The sequence below is a fragment of the Homo sapiens genome, chromosome 2, assembly GCF_000001405.40.
Source record: "Homo sapiens chromosome 2, GRCh38.p14 Primary Assembly".
Classification (NCBI taxonomy): domain Eukaryota; kingdom Metazoa; phylum Chordata; class Mammalia; order Primates; family Hominidae; genus Homo; species Homo sapiens.
Genome location: NC_000002.12, coordinates 85,582,875 through 85,604,601, shown reverse-complemented (window position 1 = coordinate 85,604,601; position 21,727 = coordinate 85,582,875). Strand labels below are relative to the sequence as shown.

The 21,727-nt window shown below is 53.7% G+C and overlaps 4 protein-coding genes across 16 annotated transcripts in view, besides 7 other annotated features; 1 reads left to right on the top strand and 3 right to left on the bottom strand.

Moving 5' to 3' along the window:
- The window catches only part of USP39 (ubiquitin specific peptidase 39), a 46,423-nt gene extending 44,682 nt beyond the window's left edge, over positions 1–1,741 (bottom strand). For both annotated transcript variants that reach the window (NR_046347.2, XM_006711922.3), the window contains exon 1: positions 1,521–1,741. The gene's annotated coding sequence lies outside the window, so the exon portion shown is untranslated. The remainder of the gene's footprint in view (positions 1–1,520) is intronic.
- Positions 1,695–2,274: a silencer, noted in NCBI's record as "silent region_11706". NCBI's record gives its function as "represses an Ori minimal core promoter by ATAC-STARR-seq in GM12878 lymphoblastoid cells {active_cell/tissue: GM12878}" and the evidence as "EXISTENCE:reporter gene assay evidence [ECO:0000049][PMID:35858748]".
- TMEM150A (transmembrane protein 150A) lies at positions 1,904–6,055 on the top strand. Of its 11 annotated transcripts, none has more exons than NM_001031738.3 (8): positions 1,904–1,995; positions 2,538–2,718; positions 3,120–3,167; positions 3,495–3,581; positions 4,190–4,257; positions 4,584–4,711; positions 4,900–5,077; positions 5,285–6,055. In NM_001031738.3, the coding sequence occupies exons 2-8, from the start codon at positions 2,654–2,656 to the stop codon at positions 5,524–5,526; spliced, it is 816 nt and encodes a 271-aa protein (NP_001026908.1). In that variant the 5' UTR covers positions 1,904–1,995; positions 2,538–2,653; the 3' UTR covers positions 5,527–6,055. The 11 variants fall into 11 exon arrangements, with proteins under 11 accessions (NP_001026908.1, NP_699173.2, XP_006711994.1 ...); XM_006711931.4 differs by lacking the exon at positions 1,904–1,995 and adding an exon at positions 2,208–2,306; XM_006711930.4 differs by lacking the exon at positions 1,904–1,995 and adding an exon at positions 2,208–2,467.
- Positions 2,375–2,434: a silencer, noted in NCBI's record as "silent region_11705". NCBI's record gives its function as "represses an Ori minimal core promoter by ATAC-STARR-seq in GM12878 lymphoblastoid cells {active_cell/tissue: GM12878}" and the evidence as "EXISTENCE:reporter gene assay evidence [ECO:0000049][PMID:35858748]".
- Positions 6,056–6,893: 838 nt separating the features above from the next.
- On the bottom strand, positions 6,894–8,857 carry RNF181 (ring finger protein 181). 2 transcript variants are annotated; one of them, NM_016494.4, is made up of 5 exons: positions 8,753–8,857; positions 7,953–8,083; positions 7,671–7,780; positions 7,424–7,498; positions 6,894–7,157 (listed from the first exon to the last, which is right to left on the bottom strand). In NM_016494.4, exons 1-5 carry the CDS (start codon positions 8,836–8,838, stop codon positions 7,098–7,100), a joined length of 462 nt encoding a protein of 153 aa, NP_057578.1. In that variant the 5' UTR covers positions 8,839–8,857; the 3' UTR covers positions 6,894–7,097. The 2 variants fall into 2 exon arrangements, with proteins under 2 accessions (NP_057578.1, XP_005264416.1); XM_005264359.5 differs by lacking the exon at positions 7,671–7,780 and having other exon boundaries at positions 7,424–7,649.
- Positions 8,826–8,965: a silencer, noted in NCBI's record as "silent region_11704". NCBI's record gives its function as "represses an Ori minimal core promoter by ATAC-STARR-seq in GM12878 lymphoblastoid cells {active_cell/tissue: GM12878}" and the evidence as "EXISTENCE:reporter gene assay evidence [ECO:0000049][PMID:35858748]".
- Positions 10,909–11,408: an enhancer, noted in NCBI's record as "H3K4me1 hESC enhancer chr2:85820317-85820816 (GRCh37/hg19 assembly coordinates)". NCBI's record gives its function as "activates a minimal SCP1, AML or CMV promoter by ChIP-STARR-seq in naive H9 embryonic stem cells {active_cell/tissue: H9 hESC(naive)}" and the evidence as "EXISTENCE:reporter gene assay evidence [ECO:0000049][PMID:30033119]".
- VAMP5 (vesicle associated membrane protein 5) lies at positions 11,196–20,171 on the bottom strand. Its single transcript, NM_006634.3, has 3 exons — positions 20,109–20,171; positions 12,740–12,877; positions 11,196–11,654 (listed from the first exon to the last, which is right to left on the bottom strand). Exons 1-3 carry the CDS (start codon positions 20,109–20,111, stop codon positions 11,445–11,447), a joined length of 351 nt encoding a protein of 116 aa, NP_006625.1. The 5' UTR covers positions 20,112–20,171; the 3' UTR covers positions 11,196–11,444.
- Positions 11,409–11,910: an enhancer, noted in NCBI's record as "H3K4me1 hESC enhancer chr2:85819815-85820316 (GRCh37/hg19 assembly coordinates)". NCBI's record gives its function as "activates a minimal SCP1, AML or CMV promoter by ChIP-STARR-seq in naive H9 embryonic stem cells {active_cell/tissue: H9 hESC(naive)}" and the evidence as "EXISTENCE:reporter gene assay evidence [ECO:0000049][PMID:30033119]".
- Positions 19,539–20,494: an enhancer, noted in NCBI's record as "H3K4me1 hESC enhancer chr2:85811231-85812186 (GRCh37/hg19 assembly coordinates)". NCBI's record gives its function as "activates a minimal SCP1, AML or CMV promoter by ChIP-STARR-seq in naive H9 embryonic stem cells {active_cell/tissue: H9 hESC(naive)}" and the evidence as "EXISTENCE:reporter gene assay evidence [ECO:0000049][PMID:30033119]".
- Positions 19,900–20,249: a silencer, noted in NCBI's record as "silent region_11703". NCBI's record gives its function as "represses an Ori minimal core promoter by ATAC-STARR-seq in GM12878 lymphoblastoid cells {active_cell/tissue: GM12878}" and the evidence as "EXISTENCE:reporter gene assay evidence [ECO:0000049][PMID:35858748]".

Here is a 21,727-nt window from a genome sequence, read left to right as displayed (position 1 = left end):
AGGTGTGCTTGTACAGTGATCACTACACAGCCATACTTCTTGGCCCTGTTTTAACTACTTGTCCTAATGTGTTTAAGGACAGGGCTCTCCCGCTGGGCACGGTGGTTCACATCTGTAATCCCAGCACTTTGAGAGGCCAAGGCGAGCGGATCACCTGAGGTCAGGAGTTCAAGAGCAGCCTGACCAACATGGTGAAACCCCGTCTCTACTAAAAATATAAAAAAATTAGCTGGGCATGGTGGCAGGCACCTGTAATCCCAGCTACTCGGGAGGCTGAGGCACAAGAATCACTTGAACACAGGAGGCAGAGGTAACAGTGAGCCGAGATTGCACCATTGCATTCCAGCCTGGGCAACAAGTGAAACTCTGTCTCAAAAGAAAAAGGGCTCTCCAACAGGTTTTCTGCTTCCATTTCTGCTTTCCACTGGGTCCAAGAAGGTTTCTCCCTCTTCAAGTCATTGTGCAGTTTATTCTGCTCTACTTCTCTAAAGCACAGGACCCTGTTGTTTCACATAGCCTTTGCCTCACCAGTGTTGCCAAACTTCAGCTCCCCACGCTGGGCAACCTGCGCCTGTGCACCATTCAGGTGATGATCTGTCATCTCACAAGGGCTCCAACAGATGCTGGGACCGCCTTTGAGACAGAATGCCAGGCACACTTCTGATATGTGAAAGTATTTCCACCCTTGCAATAATTTAAGAAACATCCGGGCCAGGCGCAGTGGCCCACGCCTGTAATCCCAGCACTTTGGGAGGCCGAGGCGGGCGGATCACGAGGTCAGGAGATCGAGACCATCCTGGCTAACATGGTGAAACCCCGTCTCTACTAAAAATACAAAAAAATTAGCCGGGTGAGGTGGCGGGCGCCTGTAGTTCCCAGCTACTCGGGAGGCTGAGGCAGGAGAATGGCGTGAACCCGTGAGGCGGAGCTTACAGTGAGCCGAGATCGCGCCACTGCACTCCAGCCTGGGCGACAGAGCGAGACTCCGTCTCAAAAAAAAAAAAAAGAAAAAGAAAAAGTAAAAAAAAAAGAAACATCCAGGAATGCACTCATAGCCTGTAAGTTTTTGGTGAAGCTGGTCAGTAATTTTTCCCACACTATCCTGTTTCCTTTTCCCAGATTCCTCCGGGTCTCTCACCTTCCCCTCTTTGCTTACCAACACTGGCCATGTTAATCCTTACCTACTCTACACTGACACCTACATGTGTCTATTTAGAATGGATGTCCTCTGGTCTCTGCCGTCTTATTTCAAATAAGTGTTGATCAGTCGGGAAACACGTCTTGGACACTGATTTCTGGCTAGTACATTGTGTACTTGTATGCAGGAAAGCAAAAAGTATCTAATGAAAGCAGCCCTCCTCCGGAGTTTGCTGAGCCACAGGAACCATAAGCCAAATCCCAGGCGCTTGGATTTCTTAAGAAACAGCCAAGTCTTTGTGTCTGCTTCTCTGGACCCACCGCAGCCCTGGCCAGAGGCAGGCATGGGGCGCCACGTTGAGAGAGCTTCCTAGAGGACTCACCGTTGGCCGGTGCAGGCTGCAAAATGTGCGCAGTGGCGGAGAGACGCTCCTCCAGCCATGTGCACGGCGACAATCCCAGGTAGAGCTGGAATGCAGGCTGCCCCGAGATCCCCACCTGCTGACGCTTCCCCGGCAGGAATCGGTTAAACGGAACCTCTAGTCATCTCGGTTTTAGAGCGGTCTTCACGCCACAGCCCTCCGCGCCCAGGTCCTCCGAAGTTGGGACACCGCCCACGTTTCCCCCGTGACGCGGGCGCGGGGGCTCGGGAGTTGTAGTCTCGGGCAGGGCGCGGGCACCGAGGCCGGGGCTGCGCGGACTCCACGTCCCGGCGGGCGGCGCGGCGAGGCCTGGGGCCTCCAGGGGCGGGGCCGCTCGGCCCTTTAAACCTTTCAGGGCTGCTCCGAGGGCCGCAGCTAGAGTCGGCGCCACGAGGGGGCCGAGCAGGGTGCGGCGGCGGCGGGGCGCTCCGGGGAGGTGCGTACTGGGCTCCTTCCCTTCCTCCGGGCTTCCAGGAATCACCTGGGGACTCTCGCGTCCCGGGTCCTGGGGGGTCGCCGGCCGCAGGGTCCGGCCCCAGCCGGGGTCCCCGCGCCCAGGCGAGCGGGGGCCGGGCCGGGCTGGGCTTTCCGCGTGAACCCGCCCCTCGCCCAGGGCGCCGATGGTCAGGTGGTTGCCTGCGCGCCGCCGACTCGCCACCGCTCCACTGGGCCGGCACCCAGCCTCTCCTTGGCGTGGCCTCTTCGGTTGTCCAGCCCTTCTCCCAGCCCTGGTCCCTCAGAAGGAGGGTAACTCCCTTCCAGATGTTACGGTCCGCCTGCGTCTCTCAGCACGCCGGTGGCATTTGGGTTGACCGCGGAGGCCCCCAGTGCCAGAGGGTGTTCACGTTCTGCCGTGGGCTCAGCCCAAACTTTGGACGCTCAGAGACCCAACGGGAGCGCTGGATAAGGTGTTGACCCCCTTCCCCTCCCCCTTCCCGGCCAGTTACCCACTCCTGGACTTTGATCTCTCTCCACCAGGCCAGGACAGCTGATGGTTGTGGCAGAAACATCTCAAGGTAGCTGGTCCGCCCCCACTTCCCCATCTACCTCTTGTCCTCCCCCCAACACCACCACCACCCTGGCTCCCCTCCCTCATGACCGCCTGGATCCTCCTGCCTGTCAGCCTGTCAGCGTTCTCCATCACTGGCATATGGACTGTGTGAGTAAAGGGGGGTGCCCGGGGGGCAACAGGAGCTTGATGACGCACACAAAGTCTCTTGTCCTGTCATAGCCACGGTGGTACCCAGGGTCACTCTGGGTGTCTCAAAAGCCTGACTTGGTGCCTGGGCACACAGCCCCTTGGGACAAGCTGGCACCACTGCTGTCCAGCAGGGTGGCCCTGACAAATATACTTCTAGCCAGGGCAATTTCCAGAGGGCCTGTAGCTGGGGGCATGCTGCAGGTGCTGGTGTGGCATCAAGCCTTAGGGACCTCAACTTGAGTCCCCAGCAACAATAATGAGGCTGAATGGGGCCAGAAATCAAGGTTGAAGAGAAGGGTCATGGGGTGGGTTGAGTGGGGCTCGGGAAGGCTGCCAGGGTGACAGTTCTGTTCCCACAGGTATGCCATGGCTGTGATGAACCACCATGTATGCCCTGTGGAGAACTGGTATGAAGGACTCTGCAGACAACCTTGCTCTAAAGCTTCCTTCATCTCTGTCCCCTCTTGGGCCTGAGGCTGCCACGAGCCAGACTGCAACCCTGAGCCTCACTGCTCTTCTCTGAAATTGGTCCCCAGGCATGGCTTCTTGCCACCTACCCACTTCCCACTATCCCTTTGCCCCTTTGGTTACTGCTTCAGGCGGGCACTGGGGAGTGGGATCTTCTGTCCCTGTAGGGGAGGTCTGGGAGAGAGTCCTCTTTGAGGCCTGAGGCTATAGGCCAAGGGCCTGGGGGCAGTCCCTTCCCCCAGTCTACTCCCTGTCCTGCCTGCCAGGTCCTACAACGAGTCCTGCCCTCCTGACCCTGCTGAGCAAGGGGGTCCCAAGACCTGCTGCACCCTGGACGATGTCCCCCTCATCAGGTAAGGCCTGGACATTGGGCCGGTCAGGGAGATCTAAGGGCCTCCCAGACAGCCCCTCAAGCAAAGAGCTGTCCTTGGGTCTCAGGAACAATAAGTATCCTAAGAGCCACTTAATAACAACACTACTTGACAGTTACTGTGGGGCAGGCACTCTGCTGAGTGCTTTATATGCATTGTCTCTTTTCATCCTCCCAGGAGTGAGGCAGGTATTGTTTTCACCATTTTATAGGTGAGGAAACAGGCTCAGTCTTCCTCATCCAGGTCACACAGCTAATAAGCGGAGGCACCTGGATTTAAGCTGGAGCCCTCAGATTGCCCAGCCCGTGTTCTGGCTCAAGGATAGCCAAACCAGCCGCAGGGCTCAGCAAAGAGTGTCAGGGTTGCCCGAACACTCCTGGGCACTCCCTTCTCTCTCACACACATGAGCTCTGCTTTGGGGGCCCAGCCTGGAACCAGTTGTTCATGAGGGACCCTGGATCTTCACATAAATCAGTGGCCTGCCTGCTAAGGAGCAGGTGCAGGTAAAGCAGGGGAGAGCCAGTGAGCCAAAATGGGGGCCCCCCGGGCCTCCTGCACCCCTCTTACTCTGTCCTTCCCCCTCCTCGCAGCAAGTGTGGCTCCTATCCCCCAGAAAGCTGCCTCTTCAGCCTCATTGGCAACATGGGTGCTTTCATGGGTGAGTTGTACCCTTAGCCCTGACCCTGCGTGCCCAGCCCAGTGATCCCCACACAGAAAGGCCCAGGAAGCCCTTCTGTGCAGCCCTCCCCACCAAGGGCTAAGGCAATAGAGGCAGCTTCTCCCCTTCCTTGAAGGCCAAAAGCTGACTCCCACACAGCCACCCTGCTGGCTGGAGCCTGAGGAAACCTAGTTCACCACCCGCCTGTCTGTTCCTTTCTGCCCCTCAGAAGGGGCAGGAGCACCACAGCGTCTGGGGGAAGCTGACAGGCTCGCTGGGCAGGGCCAGGGCTGGAGGAAGGCCTCAACTGTGCTCTCCTCCCCCAGTGGCCCTGATCTGCCTCCTGCGCTACGGGCAGCTCCTGGAGCAGAGTCGGCACTCTTGGGTTAACACCACGGCACTCATCACAGGCTGCACCAACGCTGCGGGCCTCTTGGTGGTTGGCAACTTTCAGGTGCTTCCCCTTCTCCCCTGCAAACCTTAAACTTTACCTAACAAGGCCTGGCTGCCTGCAGTGTGGCACCTCAAGGTTGGGGCTGGAAAGAGGGAGAGGAAGGAAGAGGGAGAGAGGAGATTCATTGAAGGAGGGGTGGAGAGGTGGGGCCATGGCCACATCACCAACTGGCCCTTCTCTGGGCCCAGGTGGATCATGCCAGGTCTCTGCACTACGTTGGAGCTGGCGTGGCCTTCCCTGCGGGGCTGCTCTTTGTTTGCCTGCACTGTGCTCTCTCCTACCAAGGGGCCACCGCCCCGCTGGACCTGGCTGTGGCCTATCTGCGAAGTGTGCTGGCTGTCATCGCCTTTATCACCCTGGTCCTCAGTATCCTTTCAGGACGGGGCAGCCAGGAACTCATCCTCTAGCTCAACCTTTCTCCCTCCCAAGAGGATGGGGGGTGGAGGCCTAACACTGCCATGTGGGGGAGAGGACTAACACCTCTCCCTTTGGAGAGGTGAGGCCTGAGACTGCAGAAGGGGTGTTGCCAGGTTTCCGTATGTCCTACTGAACATTTCCTTAGCCTCGTTTTAGGTGGAGTCTTCTTTGTCCATGAGAGTTCTCAGCTGCAACATGGGGCAGCCCTGTGTGAGTGGGTGTGTGTCATCGATATCCTCATTTTCTATGGCACCTTCAGCTACGAGTTTGGGGCAGTCTCCTCAGACACACTGGTGGCTGCACTGCAGCCTACCCCTGGCCGGGCCTGCAAGTCCTCCGGGAGCAGCAGCACCTCCACCCACCTCAACTGTGCCCCCGAGAGCATCGCTATGATCTAAGGTCTGGGGAGGGTGGCTGGCCCGGCCTCCACAGCACCCCACCCCATATCTTCTTTCCATTTATTTCGTACCAAAAACAATTTTGAGAAAGTATTCTGTTGGGATCTGGGCTTCCTCACTTCTGGAGAAGTGGCCATCCCATGCCCACCTGTGCCATGGAGGAGTGGGCCCTGCCAGCTGCCACAGCTGCATGACCTGCTTCCCCACCCCACGGTGTCGTTTTGTTTTTAAAGGTCACCTGTCCTCACTCACCCAGCCAGCCCTTCAGGTGCCTTCTACTCCCAGTGCCAAAGCCAGACCACTGGGGTTTCCTGCTGCAGGAATTGGGGGCTGGGAACAGCAGAGGGGATAGAAGTCTGGTGGAGGTGGAGTGGGCACGCCTTAGCCTACGGAAAGGCCCATTTCTGGGCCCACTGAGCTGCACTGGGATTCTTCACTCTGCCCCTCACTTCCTTTAGGGCAAATAACACAGCAGAACCACGTGGGTATTTTAGTACTTTTTTTTATATTAAAAGAATTCTAATTTGCATGTTTGTAGCCTGTTCTGGAGAGTTGGGGGGCCTGATCTGGGATGGCTTTCCATAAGCCAAGGATGGGAGGAAGCCCTTGCCCCCCAGGAGTGCTGAGTGCACTCTGTTGCCAGAAACAAAGGATGCCAGGTGCCACCCAAATACCCCTTCAAAGGGCTTGAAACCCTTCTGGGCCTCTAAGCAATCTAAAGAACTAACTTGGTCTGATAATCTCACCCATCCCCCACTCAGAGTCTGGTTTGAACTTTGATTCCTTAGGAGGCATGGGGGGAAGGTGGGGGTGGTACAGAGAGCAACTTTAAAATATTAAAAGTGGCTTTCTCAATGGAGCAAAAAGAAAACCTGTGGGATTACAAAGTTAACTAGACATTGCAGTGGGAGGAGGGTGCAGGCTAGTTTATCAGCTTTTTTTTTTTTTTTTTTTGAGACGGAGTTTTGCTCTTGTTGCCCAGGCTAGAGTGCAATGGCATGATCTCAGCTCACTGCAACTTCTGCCTCCCAGGTTCAAGCAATTCTCCTGCCTCAGCCTCCCAAGTAGCTGGGATTACAGGTGCGTGCCACCATGCCCAGCTAATGTTTGTATTTTTAGTAGAAACGGGGTTTCACCATGTTGGTCAGGAAGGTCTCGAACTCCTGACCTCGTGATCCACCTGTCTTGGCCTCCCAAACTGCTGGCATTACAGACATGAGCCACTGCACCCAGCCTAGTTTATCAGCTTTAAGTAATTAACTGGGTACCAGACCCTGACACATTTTGCCTTCCAACCATGAACACATAGGCCCAAGCCCTGGCTATTGCAGTAATCCAGTTCTTTACCACTGCCATGAGTCCAGATGGGCCAGCAGGGAGGAAAACCGCAGCCTGGTGCCTTCTGCGATTTAGGATCACCTTCCCCAACAGAAGTAGAGACCTGATGGAGGATGCAGAGCCCCTGGCCAGGTCTGTGATCAATACAGCCTCAGGGTGGGTAAAGAAACCTTTAATGAGGATTCAAGGTTAATAAGGAAGACGCAGAGGGCCAGCACTCAGCCCCAACCTCCTCACGTGTACATGGCTCCATGGAGGTTCTCCAGTCGGTGTTGCTGCTGCTGTTTTCGAGCCTGAAGGAAAGAAGGCATGCTGGGCAGGGGCCAAAACTGAAGGCCTATGGGTGAGGGGATGGGCAGCTATTATGGGGCTGGCTCTGTTTTCAGGCCTCTGGCGTCTGCATTGCTGAGGCTCTCACCACAAATCAAAGTCACTAAGAAGACAGCCAGAGCCAGGGATTCTGAGGCCTACCCAGTCCTGCTGAGGTGGGAAGTGATGGCAGCGGGGACAGGACTCAGGGAGCCCATTACGACCCCTCCACTTAAGCATCAGCCCCTACCTTATCTCGTCTGTGCTCCTCATAAGTGTCGTCATCAGTGGGCAGCTCATAGCGGCACAAGGGACAGGAATTTGTCTGAGAAAAGTAGAGTAGTGTTCTAGCCTTGGTCTGATCTTCATAAGCTGATAACCACCCTCCCCTGCTCCCAACTGCCACTCTTCTTCCATCCCCCAGCAGTCCATGAACAGAAAGAAGCTTGAGTACTGGGCCCAGGGCACGGTGAGAGCTAGAAGAAGAGAAGCAGTACCTTGCTTAGCCAGGGCAGAATGCAGCTGGAATGGAAAAGGTGATGGCAAGGCATCTCAATGGCAGTCTCCTCCTCCTCAAATTCCAAAAGACACACGGGGCACTTGAGCTCTTTAGGAAGGAGTGCTGATCAGGAGAGCTGCTACAGGCTCTGCCTCCCAAGCTCCCACTCCTGAAGGACACTTGCCCCCACCTGACCTGGAAAACTGAAGGACCAGACCACAGTCTGGCTTGGGGAAGGGGTGGGTCTGGCCCAAATAGCAGAAAGAATCAGTGTCCTCACCAGCCTGAGAGCCTCTGATGACTGTCCTGGGGAGGTTCTCAACCACAGTCTTGGCAGCTGGTGGAGGCAGGTGGTGGTCCCAATCTACTACCAACCCCAAGTCTTCAAAGTCCATCCTATTGAAAAGTGACCTGGGGAAGGGGATGTAAAGTCAGAACAAAGGAAAACTATGCTTTTTCTTTGTCCCCATAATCCACTGGACATTAATAAACACGCTGCCCAGCTAGTAGGAATAATAGCTACCCTTAGTAGTTAGTAGATGCTCACTAGATAAAAAGCACGATGGGAAATAGTTTACAACTGCTATCAGACCGCCCCAGCACGTAAAGTGTTTATTCCCATTTTACACATGAGGCAACAGATTCAGAGAAGTTACTCAGGCTACGCTGAATAACCTGGTAGAGCCCAGATTCCAAGACCAAGCCAGATTCCAGGTCCAGTAACAGCAGTGCCTGCTGTTACTGATGAATATACCCACTCACAGCACACGGCCCCAACCCCGCCCCCATGCCTCACCTTCTCTGAGACCTCCCAGAGCCTGCTGTCCTTCCGCCCCCACGCCCACCACTCTCCAGCTCCAATCTTTCCCGCAATCCCCTTGCCCCAGGCCGGCCCAACGGACGGCCCAAATTATCGAGATGCTCATCCCCACACCCCTCAGTCTCGCCGCCCGTACTAACACTCCAGATTACTCATCTGTCCTCCCCAGAATCCGCTGCCCCTGGTAATCCGCCTTCTCCAGCCAGCCCCAGCCCAGAAACCTGCTGGTTGGACCCTATCCCCAAGCCCCGCGCACCCACCTTGCGAGCTCCAGCAGCATGTTGGTTCGCGTCTCCTGCTCAGGGTCCGACGGCTCGCAGTCGTGTTCATCGAAATAGGACGCCATGGCTGCCCAGCCTTCTGACACAGCCCTCGGACCCTGCTCGATAGCGGCCTAGCGGCGCTGGCCAATAAACTGACGAGCTGAGAGAGGCTGGCCAATCAGAGTATCCGAGGGACGGGCATAGTGGCTCGTTAAACAGCACGGAAAGCGGAAGTACTAATTCGGCCCCCTCTCATTGGCTTGAACAAGTCAGGTGACCAGAGACTAACGCCAATGATGGAGATCTGGCTGGTGAGGAATCATTTGTTTTGGAGTCGGAGCCAAGACTGAATTCCCGGGGATTTCTGGCGCGATCGCGTCCAAGTGTCTGGTGTGTAAGGCTCTTCAGTCTGCCCTGAAGCTCAGAGGGCTTCGACAGTACAGATGCTAGAGGCCTCTGCGAGCAAAGGCGGCGCTGGCCCAGGGGTTCAGGTTCCTGCGAGCGTTGGCCCATGGCGCTTCCGGATGCGCTGTCCGGATCCCCGCCGGACACTTCTGCCCCCGCGGCCCTCTAGTTGGTTCACCAGTTTGCGTTTGATTCCTGCGCATTTCTTATGTGTTAGGCATAATAATAAAGGGTGGGGCAAGCCTCCCCAACTGAGAGAGATCTCTTTGCCGGAGAACCTGGGGCCTCAACCAGCTCATGGGACTGTTACCTTCAGCCCGTTGCTATCCCTAGCTTCTGTAAAACTGCTGGCTTGTACTAAGACCTTTTCATTCCTGGCTACACATGAATTCCCAGAGGAGAGAATGGGCGCGGAGGAGCTTTAGAAACACCCGTGTCTGATACCTTCGAAGATTCTGATTTAACTGATCTGTGGTGGGGCCTGGGCAATGGCACTTGTATAAATTATGCAGGTGAAGCAGGTTTAAGAACCACTGCACTCAATGATTTGGATGATAGGTACTATTTAGCATCTAGAACTGTTAGTCTGATGTATGTTTTACACGCTCGATCATCCCCTCAATAGACCCAGGAGCTAAGCGTCATTATGCCCTTTTTACCTCAGAAGTGGCTTGCCCAAATTTGCAGTCTGTAAGTGGTGTTGCAGACCAGCTGCAGGGCCAAGTGCTTTCCTCCATCTTTCCCAAGAGAGGAAGACGCTAATGCGCTCAGTAAAACTAACACGCTCTGTAAGGGGTGAAGCTCCACACAACTCAGGCTTATTCTGGTTTCTGTCAGTAGCGCTCACTTTACCCAGCAAGGAACTGCTTATTTTACACACTTGACCCTGAATTCCCCTTGCCACTCACACCTGAGTTTGAACTGCAGCTAAGTAGCCCAGGCAGAGGCTGCCCTGTTTCCACAGTCTTGGTGTGGCTTTATTTCCTTCTTCCATGCCTTTGCCCAATGATCTTTGCTATGGCCCTGAAGGCACTGCCTCCCTGGCCTATATGGCCCTGTAGCTTTGAAAAGCCTGAATTCAGGCTGGACATGGTGGCTCACGCCTGCAATCCCAGCACTAAAGGCAAGAGAATTGCTTGAGCCCAGGAGTTCGAGACCAGCCTCGGCAACATAGACCCCGTCGAAAGAGGGAGGGAGAGAAGACACAGGAGAGACCCCGTCGAAAAAGGAAGGAAGGGAGGGAGGGAGATGGGAATACCAAGGAGTGCTTTAAGGTCCCCATCTCTTGCTGTCACTTCCCCCATCTGCAGTCTGATGTAAAGCTTGAGGTAGATAGAATGTGGAAAGAGAAATTGAGGAGTGGGAAGTGTTCAGAGGGGAAACCATTTATCTGAAGGTGAGAGCCTTATGAAAAATTTTTTGGGCCAGGCGCGGTGGCTCATGCCTGCAATTCTAGCACTTCGGAAGGCCGAGGCAGGTGGATCACCTGAGGTGAAGAGTTCAAGACCAGCTTGGCCAACATGGTGAAACCTTGTCTCTACTAAAAATACAAAAATTAGCCAGGTGTGATGGTGGGCACCTGTAATCCCAGCTACTTGGGAGGCTGAGGCAGGAGAATTGCTTGAACCCAGGAGGTGGAGTTTGCAGTGAGCTGAGATAGTGCCATTGCACTCCAGCCTGAGCAACAGAGCAAAAACTCTGTCTCAAAAAAAAAAAAAAAAAATTGGTGAAGTGCTTTCTTCTTTGTCATCGCATCTACAGTCTCATTGGTCCTCTAAGCATCCCCAAGATGACAGAAAAATAATAGATTTCATTCTCAGAGAAACAGGCTCAGATGGGGAGGACTGGTTCAAGGGTCTGCTTTGGGGGCCATTGTGTTCTTGCATCCACACTCCCTGTCTGTGTCGGGCTGGATCAAGTAGGGAAGGGAGAGGAAGGAGCCATCTCCCAGGGGTGGAGTCCTTTGGGTGATGGGCTTTTTAAGCAGCCCTAGGGGTAGAGACAGATGGGATTAACCAACCTGGGGACCTTCACACACAGATACCAGCTTTTAATCAAACAGCAGTTTTTACTGAGCTCCAGGTGGGGCTGGCCCAGCATGGCCAGTACAGCAGGCTGCCCTCAAGGGCCAGTCTGTGGCATGACAGGAAATGCAGGGGTGCACATGTTGGGGCTGCCCTTTGGCACTCACTGGGGTGGGTCAAGGGAGAGCAAACACCAAGGTCCTCTGGAGACCAGAATCGGCCAGTGCAGCCATTTGGCTTCTCCTTCAGGACCAGCTGGGTCAGTTCCCAGGCCCTGAGGCAATGCCTGCATCCTGGGTCCGTGGGGCACTACTGCTGTCACTGCTCTGAGGGAGAAAGACGACCAGCAGCACAATCAGGATGATGAGCAGGACACCAACCACCACCAGCCCCACGCAGATCCGGTAACGGATGTTCTCCCAGCACTTCTTCTGGGCCAGGTTCTGTGTAGTCTTGTTGAAGGTTGAGCTCTGCGGATACCCCCAGACACAAAGTGGGAGTTAGCTGGCACCCTCTTGGCCTGGGAGCCAGCTCCTCCCAACCCCATCTCAGTAAGGCTTAGTCTCCTCCTGCATCCTCCCCATCTTGTCTACTTTCTTTCTTTTTTTTTTTTTTTTGAGAAGGAGTCTCTCCCTGTCACCCAGGCTGGAGTACAGTGGCACAATCTCAGCTCACTGCAACCTCTGCCTCCCGGGTTCAAGCAATTCTCCTGTCTCAGCCTCCCTAGTAGCTGGGACTACAGGTGCACACCACTGCGCCCGGCTAATTTTTGTATTTTTAGTTGAGATGGGGTTTCACCATACTGGCTAGGATAGTCTTGAACTCCTGACCTTGTGATCTGCCCACCTCGGCCTCCCAAAGTGTTGGGATTACAGGCGTGAGACACCGCGCCCGGCCTTGTCTGCTCTCTTTCTATACCACCTGCCGTGGAACCCTCCCAGCCTGACTCATCTCAAACACCGGTGTGGCCCTTGACTTTCAGCCCTAGTGTCTCACCCTCAGTTAACAATGCCAGTACTCAGGCTGGACACAGTGGCTCATGCCTGTAATCCCAGCACATTGGAAAGCCAAGGTGGGAGGATCTCTTGGATCCAGGAGTTCAAGACCAGCCTGGGCAACATGGTGAGACCTCATCTCTACAAAAAATCAAAAATTAGACAGGCATGGTGGTGCAGGCTTGTAGTCCTAGCTCTTCAGGAGGCTGAGGCAGGAGGATCACTTAAGCCTGGGAGGTAGAGGCTGCAGCAAATATGATTGTGCCACTGTACTAGCCTGGGCGACAGAGTGAGACTCTGTCTCAAAGTAAAAAAGAAACAAAAAACGATACCAGTTTTCTACCTTTAAGAAGGTCCACAGCTTCAAACCAAGGCCTTCTTATCTTGTGGGGTCTATCTGTTGCATGTCTAGGCTATGGGTGCCTGAGGAAACCCAGAGGCCCCACACTGGCCCTCAAGAAGGCCTCAACCCCACCAAGGAACTGGAGATCCTGAATACAGCCCAAGAGAGACTTTCCCAATCCTCTCCCCTCCCCTCCATGCTCCCCCAGGCCTCACACCATATCCAGGAGTTGGTCTGAACGCTGCTGCAGTTCGGCCAGCTTCACACCACGCTCCAGGACCTTGCCGAAGTTGTTACGCATAATTTCCGTCACCTCGTTCGCCTGCTGCTGGCACCGCTCCAACTCTATTCCTGCCTGGACACCAAGCCCGAGGTCAGGGCTGCATGAGGCCCCCACCTGGCCCTCATCTGCCCCTGAGATCTAGAAGCCTCCTTCTCCCCCTGTAGGTGGGTACAGCATGAGAGTAACAGCATCCTTCGTGTAAGGGTATGATGTGTGCGGAGTGAAGGTCTGGCCTTCGGGGTGAGTGCGGCACACCTTAAGTCTCACAGGCTCCTCCCCTTGCACGTCAAGGCAGGGCCTAGGACCTAGGTAAGTCCCGGCTTCCAGCACCTCAGCTTCCTCTAAGCTGTCCCAAGGTGGGATCTTCCCAGGACCCCACCCTCCCACAAAGCTGATTCTTTTCTCACCTGCTCCAGAATGGCGTCTACCCAATCAATGCACAGCTGCCCTAAGGTTTCCCACTGGCCTAAGAAGGCAGCAAAGAATGGGTAACCAAGCTACCTGGCTGGAACACACAGGGAGGAGACCTACCCTACAGGCTAGAAAGGTAATTTTGAAGCAGCACACATCATAGTCTCTGCCTAACCCCTCTATCCCCAAACTGAGAAGCTCAGATCTTCCTCTTTGGGCCTCTGACTGGTCAGGCCAGTTCTGCCTCCTGGCCTGATCCTGCTCCCTATATCACTGCTCCAACTTCCCTCTCCGTCTGGGAACCTCAGTGGTACCGGTTTTTGGCCTCCAGCCTTCCACTCAGCTGGGGTCCTCACTGGGGTCCAACTTACAGAGATGAGACTAACTCTTGGATTTCCCAGCCTGGGGGGCAGCTTTGCCTAACAGAAAACACCAGCTCATTTCAGAGGACTGGGAAGGGAGGTCTTGGATCCAAGCTGGGGAAGGTTGAAATGACAGGGGAGAGAGAAAGTCTGGGTCATGTGCAAGAAAGGCACTGGGCTTTGGGTGCACGTAACAGAGAGAGACACCAGGCAGGAGGCCCTGGTATAAGCCAGAAGCCTAGGAGCAGGGACATTTCAGGGAGATGAATACCAGTGGATTAGCAAACCACAGAAACTCCTTCCTCTTAGCCTACTTCCCCACAGCCCATCCCTGTTCCCTTCCCCTCCTTACAAGAAGGGCAAGCTTCTTTTCCTGCCAGCCCACGTCACCCATTGTCTACAACAGACATTTTGGCACTTGACTGAATTCCACTTAAAACCAGAAAACTTAAGTGTTAGAAGAGATCTGGTGGTCACAGAGGGCTACCTCCCACTCAGCCAAGAATCCTCCTTCAGGATCCTTGCAGCTGCTTGGTATACAGCCTCCAAGAATTCCCACTGTATGAGTCCTATCTCCCCAGCTGGACCACAAACTCCCAGAGGGAGGGCAGGGAGCAGTGCCCTGCCTTTGTCCACCACCATCCCACCGGGAGGCCAGCACAGTGCTGACCATTGCAAGCAAGGAATCAGTGAGTGGGCCAATTACGATACAGCCTAACCAAAAGCAATTCTTATTCTCAAGAGATGTTCTCCCAGCATGTTTTTCTAGCCCTGCATGAGTTTCGAGGGGCAGGCATTTGAAACCCAAATAGGTCAATATTTACCCATGAGCTAGAAAAGCAACCTGCTTCAAGAGAGGTCAGGCAAACCACTGTAGGGGAGGCTGCGCTCACAGGCTGGAGGAAGCAGTAAGCAGGAAACACAGAGGAACAACGAAGAGAGCAGGGAAACTGCACTCTCACCTTTTCCTGAGTCAACCGTCATCACTATTATTACTACTATAGCATTCAACAAGGCTCCATCATTCAATCCTTTGAACTTCCCCACATTCAAATACTCCAAGGCAGGCTGGGCGCAGTGGCTCACACCTGTAATCCCAGCACTTTGGGAGCCCCAGGCAGGCAGATCACTTGAGGCCAGGAGTTCGAGACCAGCCTGGCCAACATGGTGAAACCCTGTCTCTACTAAAAATACAAAAATTAGCCAGGCATGGTGGTGCATGCCTGTAATCCCAGCTACTTGGGAGGCTGAGATGGGAGAATCGCTTGAACCTGGGTGGCGGAGGTTGCAGTGAGCCGAGATCACACCACTGCACTCCAGCCTGGGCAACAGAGCAAGACTCCATCTCAGCAAACAAAACAAAACAAAAAACAAAATTAAATAGTCCAAAGCAAAAACTTGAGAATGGATAAATACTCGAAAATAAGAGTCACTGCTAGAGACTGGGAAAATGCTGGATATTATCTTTTTATTTTCTATTCTAAATGCTACAGCTGTTGTTACCTTATTTTTCAACAAGGGGTGATATTTGGGTCACATTCTCCAAAGAGCTGGCTGTGCTTCCAGCTGTAATCTGGACCAGTCTCCCCCAATGCGAAGCCAGGCCTGCCTGGAGCCAAGATGGACCCAGGCCTAAAAGAACACATTCGCTCCAGGGAACACAGAGGCCTTAGACTCAAGTCTCGGGCCCTCCTTGGCCCCCACTCAACCAGAGGAAAAAGGACACTGACTATATACACAGGTCTCTGCTGGCACTGTGAGAAATAAAGCTCCAGGGACCCTGGAAGGAGGTAAGCAAGAGGACAAGGGCCATACTGCCTTACGCCACACTGTCACTCAGCATAATGTCTGCAGACAGCAGAGATGTGATAAACAGTTCCTGAATAAATGGTGCCTATATTTTTAAAGATGGGGTCTTGCTATGTTGCCCAGGATGGTCTTGAACTCCTGGGCTCAAGCAGTCCTCCCACCTCAGCTTCCCAAAGTGCTGGGATTATAGGCATGAGCCATCATGCCTGGCCTAATTGTGCCTATTCTTAAAGAGACCACTTTGCCCTGGGGAAAAGACACATGTAATACAATTAGAGAAGAGTAAAGAGTTACACTGTGCGATACAGATAGTAAGTATCAGAGCTGCCACAGAGAGGGTGCCATGGTGGGGGCGGGTGACCCCTTGAAGGATGACATGGAGCAGGGACATTCTTGCACTGAGAGATAGGGATACACCCTGACAGTGAGGACCAGGCAGAGGATGGGAGGGATGGGGCAGGACAGAAGGCAGAAAAGGTCAGGTAGAGAAGACTGGCTCCAAGCGACTGATAAAACTTAAGAGCTAGTGTGGTTTTTGAGCCACGGGTGACAGTGAAGAAGTGCTTCAGGATAATTTCTCTATTGGTGGTAGACAGGCACAGATAGAAGTAAGAAAATGGCAGAGAGGCCAGCCAGAGGGGTGGAGAAGTACCATCAGCAAGACTGCCAGGAGATGGCCACCAGGCGGGAGAGGGGTGACAAGCAGAGCGTGGAGAAAGGAAGAAGGGTGAGACAGGCATTTCTGAGACCTGAGGCCAGAAGCCTGCAGGGCTTGGAATTTTGAGCCAGGGCGAGAGGGGAGCAGTTGTGTAATTGCCAGAGAGTGGCAGTTACACAGGAAATGTTCTTGACAGACTGTTGCCCCCTGTACAGAATATCCCCTCTATGACACTCAAACCTCTCAGGTTTTTCTGGGCTCAATCTCTTTGATTCCTCCTATGAAAACGCAGTTCTCAAAACCACACCATCTGGGCCAGGCACGGTGGCTCATGCCTGTAATCCCTGGACTTTGGGAGGCCAAGGTGGGCAGATCATGCCTCTACCAAGAAATACATAAATTAGCCAGGCAAAGTGGTGCCTGCCCATAGTCCCAGCTACTCGGGAGGCTGAGGCAGGAGAATTGCTTGAACCTAGGAGGCAGAGGCTGCAGTGAGCCAAGATTGCGCACTGCACTCCAGCCTGGGCAAAGGAGTGAGACCCTGTCTCAAGAAAAAACAAAGAAACAAAAACAAAAAAACCTCCCTATCCTAACTCTCCTTGTCTCCCCATCTCCTGTCTAGTATCCAAGAAACTGTTCTAACTGTCGTCAGATGAATGGGCGCAAGTACCGGTATAACATTGCCTCCCTAAGTCGGCACTCAGCTCAGAGACTAGGAGCAGGGCTCTGCTTTGCACCCGTCTGTTGAAATCCTGCTTCTGCCACTCACCAGCTGAGTGACTGAGACTGAGGATATGACCTTTCTGACCTCCACTTCCTCTTCTGTAAAGTGCTGATAATAATGTTAGCTAAGGATTATGTGACTTATTGTAAATCAAAAGCTTAGCACAACGCCTGACACATACTAAATGCTCAATAAATAAGAGCTATTATATTGATGTGGCCCACATTTCCCTAGCTCCTTTTTTTTTTTTTAGCAGTCAGATCTCAAGAATTGTACAATATGGCCAGGTGTGGTGGCTCACGCCTGTAATCCCAGCACTTTGGGAGGCCGAGGCAGGTGGATCACAAGGTCAGGAGTCTGAGACCAGTCTGGCCAATATGGTGAAGCCCTGTCTCTACTAAAAATACAAAAATTAGCCAGGCGTGGTGGCGGGCACCTGTAATCCCAGCTACTCGGGAGGCTGAGGCAGGAGGATCACTTAAACCTGAGAGGCAGAGGTTGCAGTGAACTAAGGGCCACTGCACTCCAGCCTGGGCGACAGAGCGAGATTCTGTCTCAAAAAAAAAAAAAATTGTGTAATACAGGTGGTCAGTAAAACCTCTTCGTTTTATAAAATGCACAGCCAAGCAAGCTCTTCCCTATGGCAAACTTGTACACATAGTACACATAATTGTTTCTAACCTGTGGCTCAGAACTTTAAATGGGCTTTTGGTAACTTGGTAACTAGCATCTAGTTTATTTTCTTTCTTTTTTTTTTTGAGATGGTGTCTCACTCTGTCGCCCAGGCTGGAGTGCAGTGGCGTGATCTCCACTCACTGCAAGCTCTGCCTCCTGGGTTCACGCCATTCTCCTGCCTCAGCCTCCAGGGTAGCTGGGACTACAGGCGCCTGCCACCACGCCCAGCTAATTTTTTGTATTTTTAGTAGAGACAGGGTTTCACCGTGTTAGCCAGGGTGGTCTCGAACTCCTGACCTCGTGATCCACCTGGCTTGGCCTCTCTCTCAAAGTGCTGGGATTACAGGCGTGAGCCACCGCGCCCGGCTGCATCTAGTTTATTTTCATCTGGCACGGCAGGCTGTTGAGGTTTTACATCTTGAGCAAGAATAACAGCCACCATCCAATGGGCACATACTCTGAGGTAGGCACTATGCTGCTTGCTGTTCATTTGCTCTGTCTCATTTAATCCTCACCCAACAACCCATTGAAGGCCATATTATTAACCCAGTTATTTTGTTTGTTTGTTTGTTTGTTTTTGTTCTGAGACAGCCTTACTCTGTCACCCAGGCTGGAGTGCAATGGCGCGATCTCAGCTCACTGCAACCTCCGCCTCCCAGGTTCAAGCGATTCTCCTGCCTCAACCTCCCGCATAGTTGGGACTACAGGCGTGTGCCACCACACCCGGCTATTTTTTTATATTTTTAGTAGAGACGGGATTTCACCATGTTTGCCAGGCTGGTCTTGAACTGTTGAACTCGTGATCTGCCCGCCTCGGCCTCCCAAAGTGCTGGGATTACAGGTGTGAGCCACTGCGCCTGGCCTTTTCCCAGTTTTATAGGAAACTTTGGCTCAGAGGTGTTAAATCACCTGTCCAAGATCACAGAGCCAGTGAGTAGAAGATCTGGGAGTTGAACCAACACAGACTCCAGGCACCACATTTGTAACCCGTGTGCTAAATTAGATGCAGGTACAAGGAGGTCAGACACTTTAGCTGATTGGCTAAAGAATCTGGTTGATGCTACCAACCTAATTTGTGTGCATATGAGGGAGGCCTGTGGCTCAACACACACATTCTTTGGAGAGAGGATCATCTACAAGATTAATGAATTCAAGTAATTATTCATTCCATTTCCATCTTTCCCATCACTGCTTTGTTCCTGCTCTGTCCCCTATACTTGTCACCATGCTGGCATGAAGGACATTTCCAAGAAATCCTTGTTGGTTGAATGAGTCATAGAGAAGAAAAGAAAAGTGAAAGGAAGAAGGACCAGGGAGGGAAAGGGGATGGGTGGAAGGAAGGAAAGCGCTAAAGGGGCAAGAGTGAAAGAAGAAACAGGAAGAGGCTAGGAGATGGATGGGTGGAGGAGCGACCTCCCCAGCCTCTCCTCCACAGACTGCCTCAAATGTACCCGTGAGAATCCCCAGGTTTCCCAGTATCCTCCTCCCCCAATAAAATATCCTGCCTTCAGCCTTCACTTCAGGAGCTTCTCCCAAAGAGCTAAGGGCCGGCTGAAGCCCACCCCTACCCCTGCCTGACCCCTTGCCCTGCACACCCTTAAGTGGGCTCTGGGCTCTGCCCTATTCTCAGAGCCTTCCTCAGCTTCCTGGCCTGGCCTCAGAGCTCAGTGCTACCTTCCTGCCCCACTTCCTCTTCCTGCCTCCAAGTTCCCTGGAGATAAGGCCATCCAGGCATTGACCCCTAGCCAGGCCACATCCATCACACCTCTGTCAGTTTCTCCAAGGCAAAATCTTAAAGCACCAAGCCTACTTCCTGCCCAGTCCATTTTCCCAGGAGCCCTAGGGAAAGGGAGAAACTGGCACCAGCTGTTCCTGACATCTTTGCCTTGGAGATGGCAAGTGAGGACAAAGGCCAGGATCTGCAGCAGGAGTGGGGATGACTCAACTCAGGAATGTGTCACTAGGTAGAGGTTAGCAGGGAGTCAGGCCTGTGCCATACACTGATAACTTCAGTGGAACTTTCAGAGTAAACATCTCCCTTTCTCTTTCTCTAGGGGAGGAGTTCGCCCTCCAACACCCTGCCATGGGGCTGGAATGGCCTCTGCCACCCCATCTGCTCAAGTTTCCAACTCCTGAGCCAGGCTTGGCTCCTCACAGCTGCGGAAAGGGCTGACGAGGTCGTTACATTTCCTACCACTTCTTAGCAGTGGGTTCTGAGTGCCAGGCGGGTCTCTGCCACTGTGGCTCCTTTAACCTCGCAAGGACCCAACAAGGCAGGTATTACTGACCCCACTTCACAGACGCGGAAAAGGAGGCTCAGGGAGGTTAAGTGACTTGTCCCGGGTCACAGAGCTGGGATCCCAGCCCGGAGTCCGACTCCAAAGTCGGTGCTCTTAACCGCTTTGCTTCAGGAGAATGGGGAGCCCGAGTCCCGCTCGCTCTGCGCGGTGCAGCCAGGACGGGGCTCACGCATTTCTCTCCCATGCGGCGCGCAGGGAGTGGAGGGTCCGCCCCGTCCTGCTCCAGCAGTGGTCACCGCCTCAGGTCTGGCCCTCGTGGGCCCCAGGGGAGGCCCCAGCCCGCGGACTTTGGACTCCTCTCTCCCACCCTCGCCACTCGCCCTCTGCCCGTCGCAGGGCTGGCCGGCCCCGCCTGGGCCCTCACCATCGCTGCTGCCGCCGCCGCCTCGCCCGCTCCCGGCTTCTCTGCCTGCGGAGCGGCCGCAGTGCCAGCGGCCCCGGAGGAAGAGCAGGGGCGGGGCGGGGCGGGCCGCCGAGCGAGGGCGGGGGGCGCGCCTTCCGCGAGTGGCGACAGAAACCAAGTCAAATCGAAAGCGATGGGCCACAGCGACCTGGGTCCGTAGAGTCGGACCCTCCCGGGCCCCAGGAGCCTGAATTCGGATGACACCTCTGCCTGGTGAACGGGCACACCTCGGGGCCGGATCTGTGGAATGGGCACAGTGGAGTGAGCCCTGGAGTCTTCTAGCTCGAGTTCAGCTGAAAAGGCATCATTCATTCACTCAACAAACACCCTATGAGTGCCACGGTCAGGCACCATACTAGGTCCTGGAGACGCCATGAACAAGCCAGGCAGGGTCTTTATCACCCTGGTGAGTGCATCTCACCCAGAACCAAAAACAGGCACCCAAAAAGTTTTGAAACTAAAGACAAGTGGTGGTTGCACAACATTCTGAATACATGTCACTGATCTGTACACTTTAAAATAACAAACTGTACATTGTGTGACTTTCACCTCTATTCAAAAAGAAAGCAGCCCCACATGGGCAAAGTACTAGCTCTAGCCTTTCTGTATGTCTTTCCTCACCATGAGGGCAAGTGCAGCTCTGTGCTGTCATGCACCCGCCATGCACTTGCTCCTCAGTCAGAGGATGGGGGAGGCTGGTGTATCTACTACCACTTCAGAGCCTTCCTGAGCCGAATCTACCCATCCTGTCCTCTCACTGCTACAGAGAAACCACCAGCTACCTGTTCTCCACTACTCCAAGCTGCCTCGGACATCTTAAAATAAGGTCCCTCGTTTTTTTTTTTTTGTTTGTTTGTTTTTTTTTTTTGAGAGAGACAGGGTCTCACTATGTTGACCAGGCTGGTCTCGAACTCCTGGCCTCAAGCAGTTCTTCTGCCTCAGGTTTCCAAAGTGTTGGGATTACAGGTGTGAGCCACTGGGCCTGGTCCCTCAAGTGAGGCCTCTCTTGACCAACAGAATTGAAAGTTTCCCTCTCTGGGGCTGAGCCTCTGTGAATACAGAAGTCCCAGACCAAGAGGGTTTCACAGACACTCACCCCCACCTTGGACAGCCTGGGTCCCAAGGCAGAAGCTTCACTTCAGTTCCTTACACCTTGAATCCAGGAGAGAGAGGATTAACATGTTGTAGCAAAGACTACCCCAAGCCTGGGCACAGTGGCTCACACTTGTAATCCCAGCACTTTGGGAGGCCAAGGTGGTAGGATTGCTTGAGCCCAGGAGTTTGAGACCAGCCTGGGCAACACAGTGAGACCATGTCTCTACAAAAAATACAAAAATTAGCCAGGTGTGGTAGCACACACCTGTGGTCCCAGCTACAGGGGAGGCTGAAGCAGGAAGATCTCTTAAGCCCAGGAGATGGAGGTTGCAGTGAGCCATGATCACACCACTGCACTCCAGTCTGGGCAACAAAGTGGGATCCTATCTCTGAAAAAATAAAAATAAAAATATCACAAGGGTCTTTTCTGACCTTTCCTCCTCCCTCCCCAAATTTCAGAGCATGATTCTTCCAGAGCCTGACTT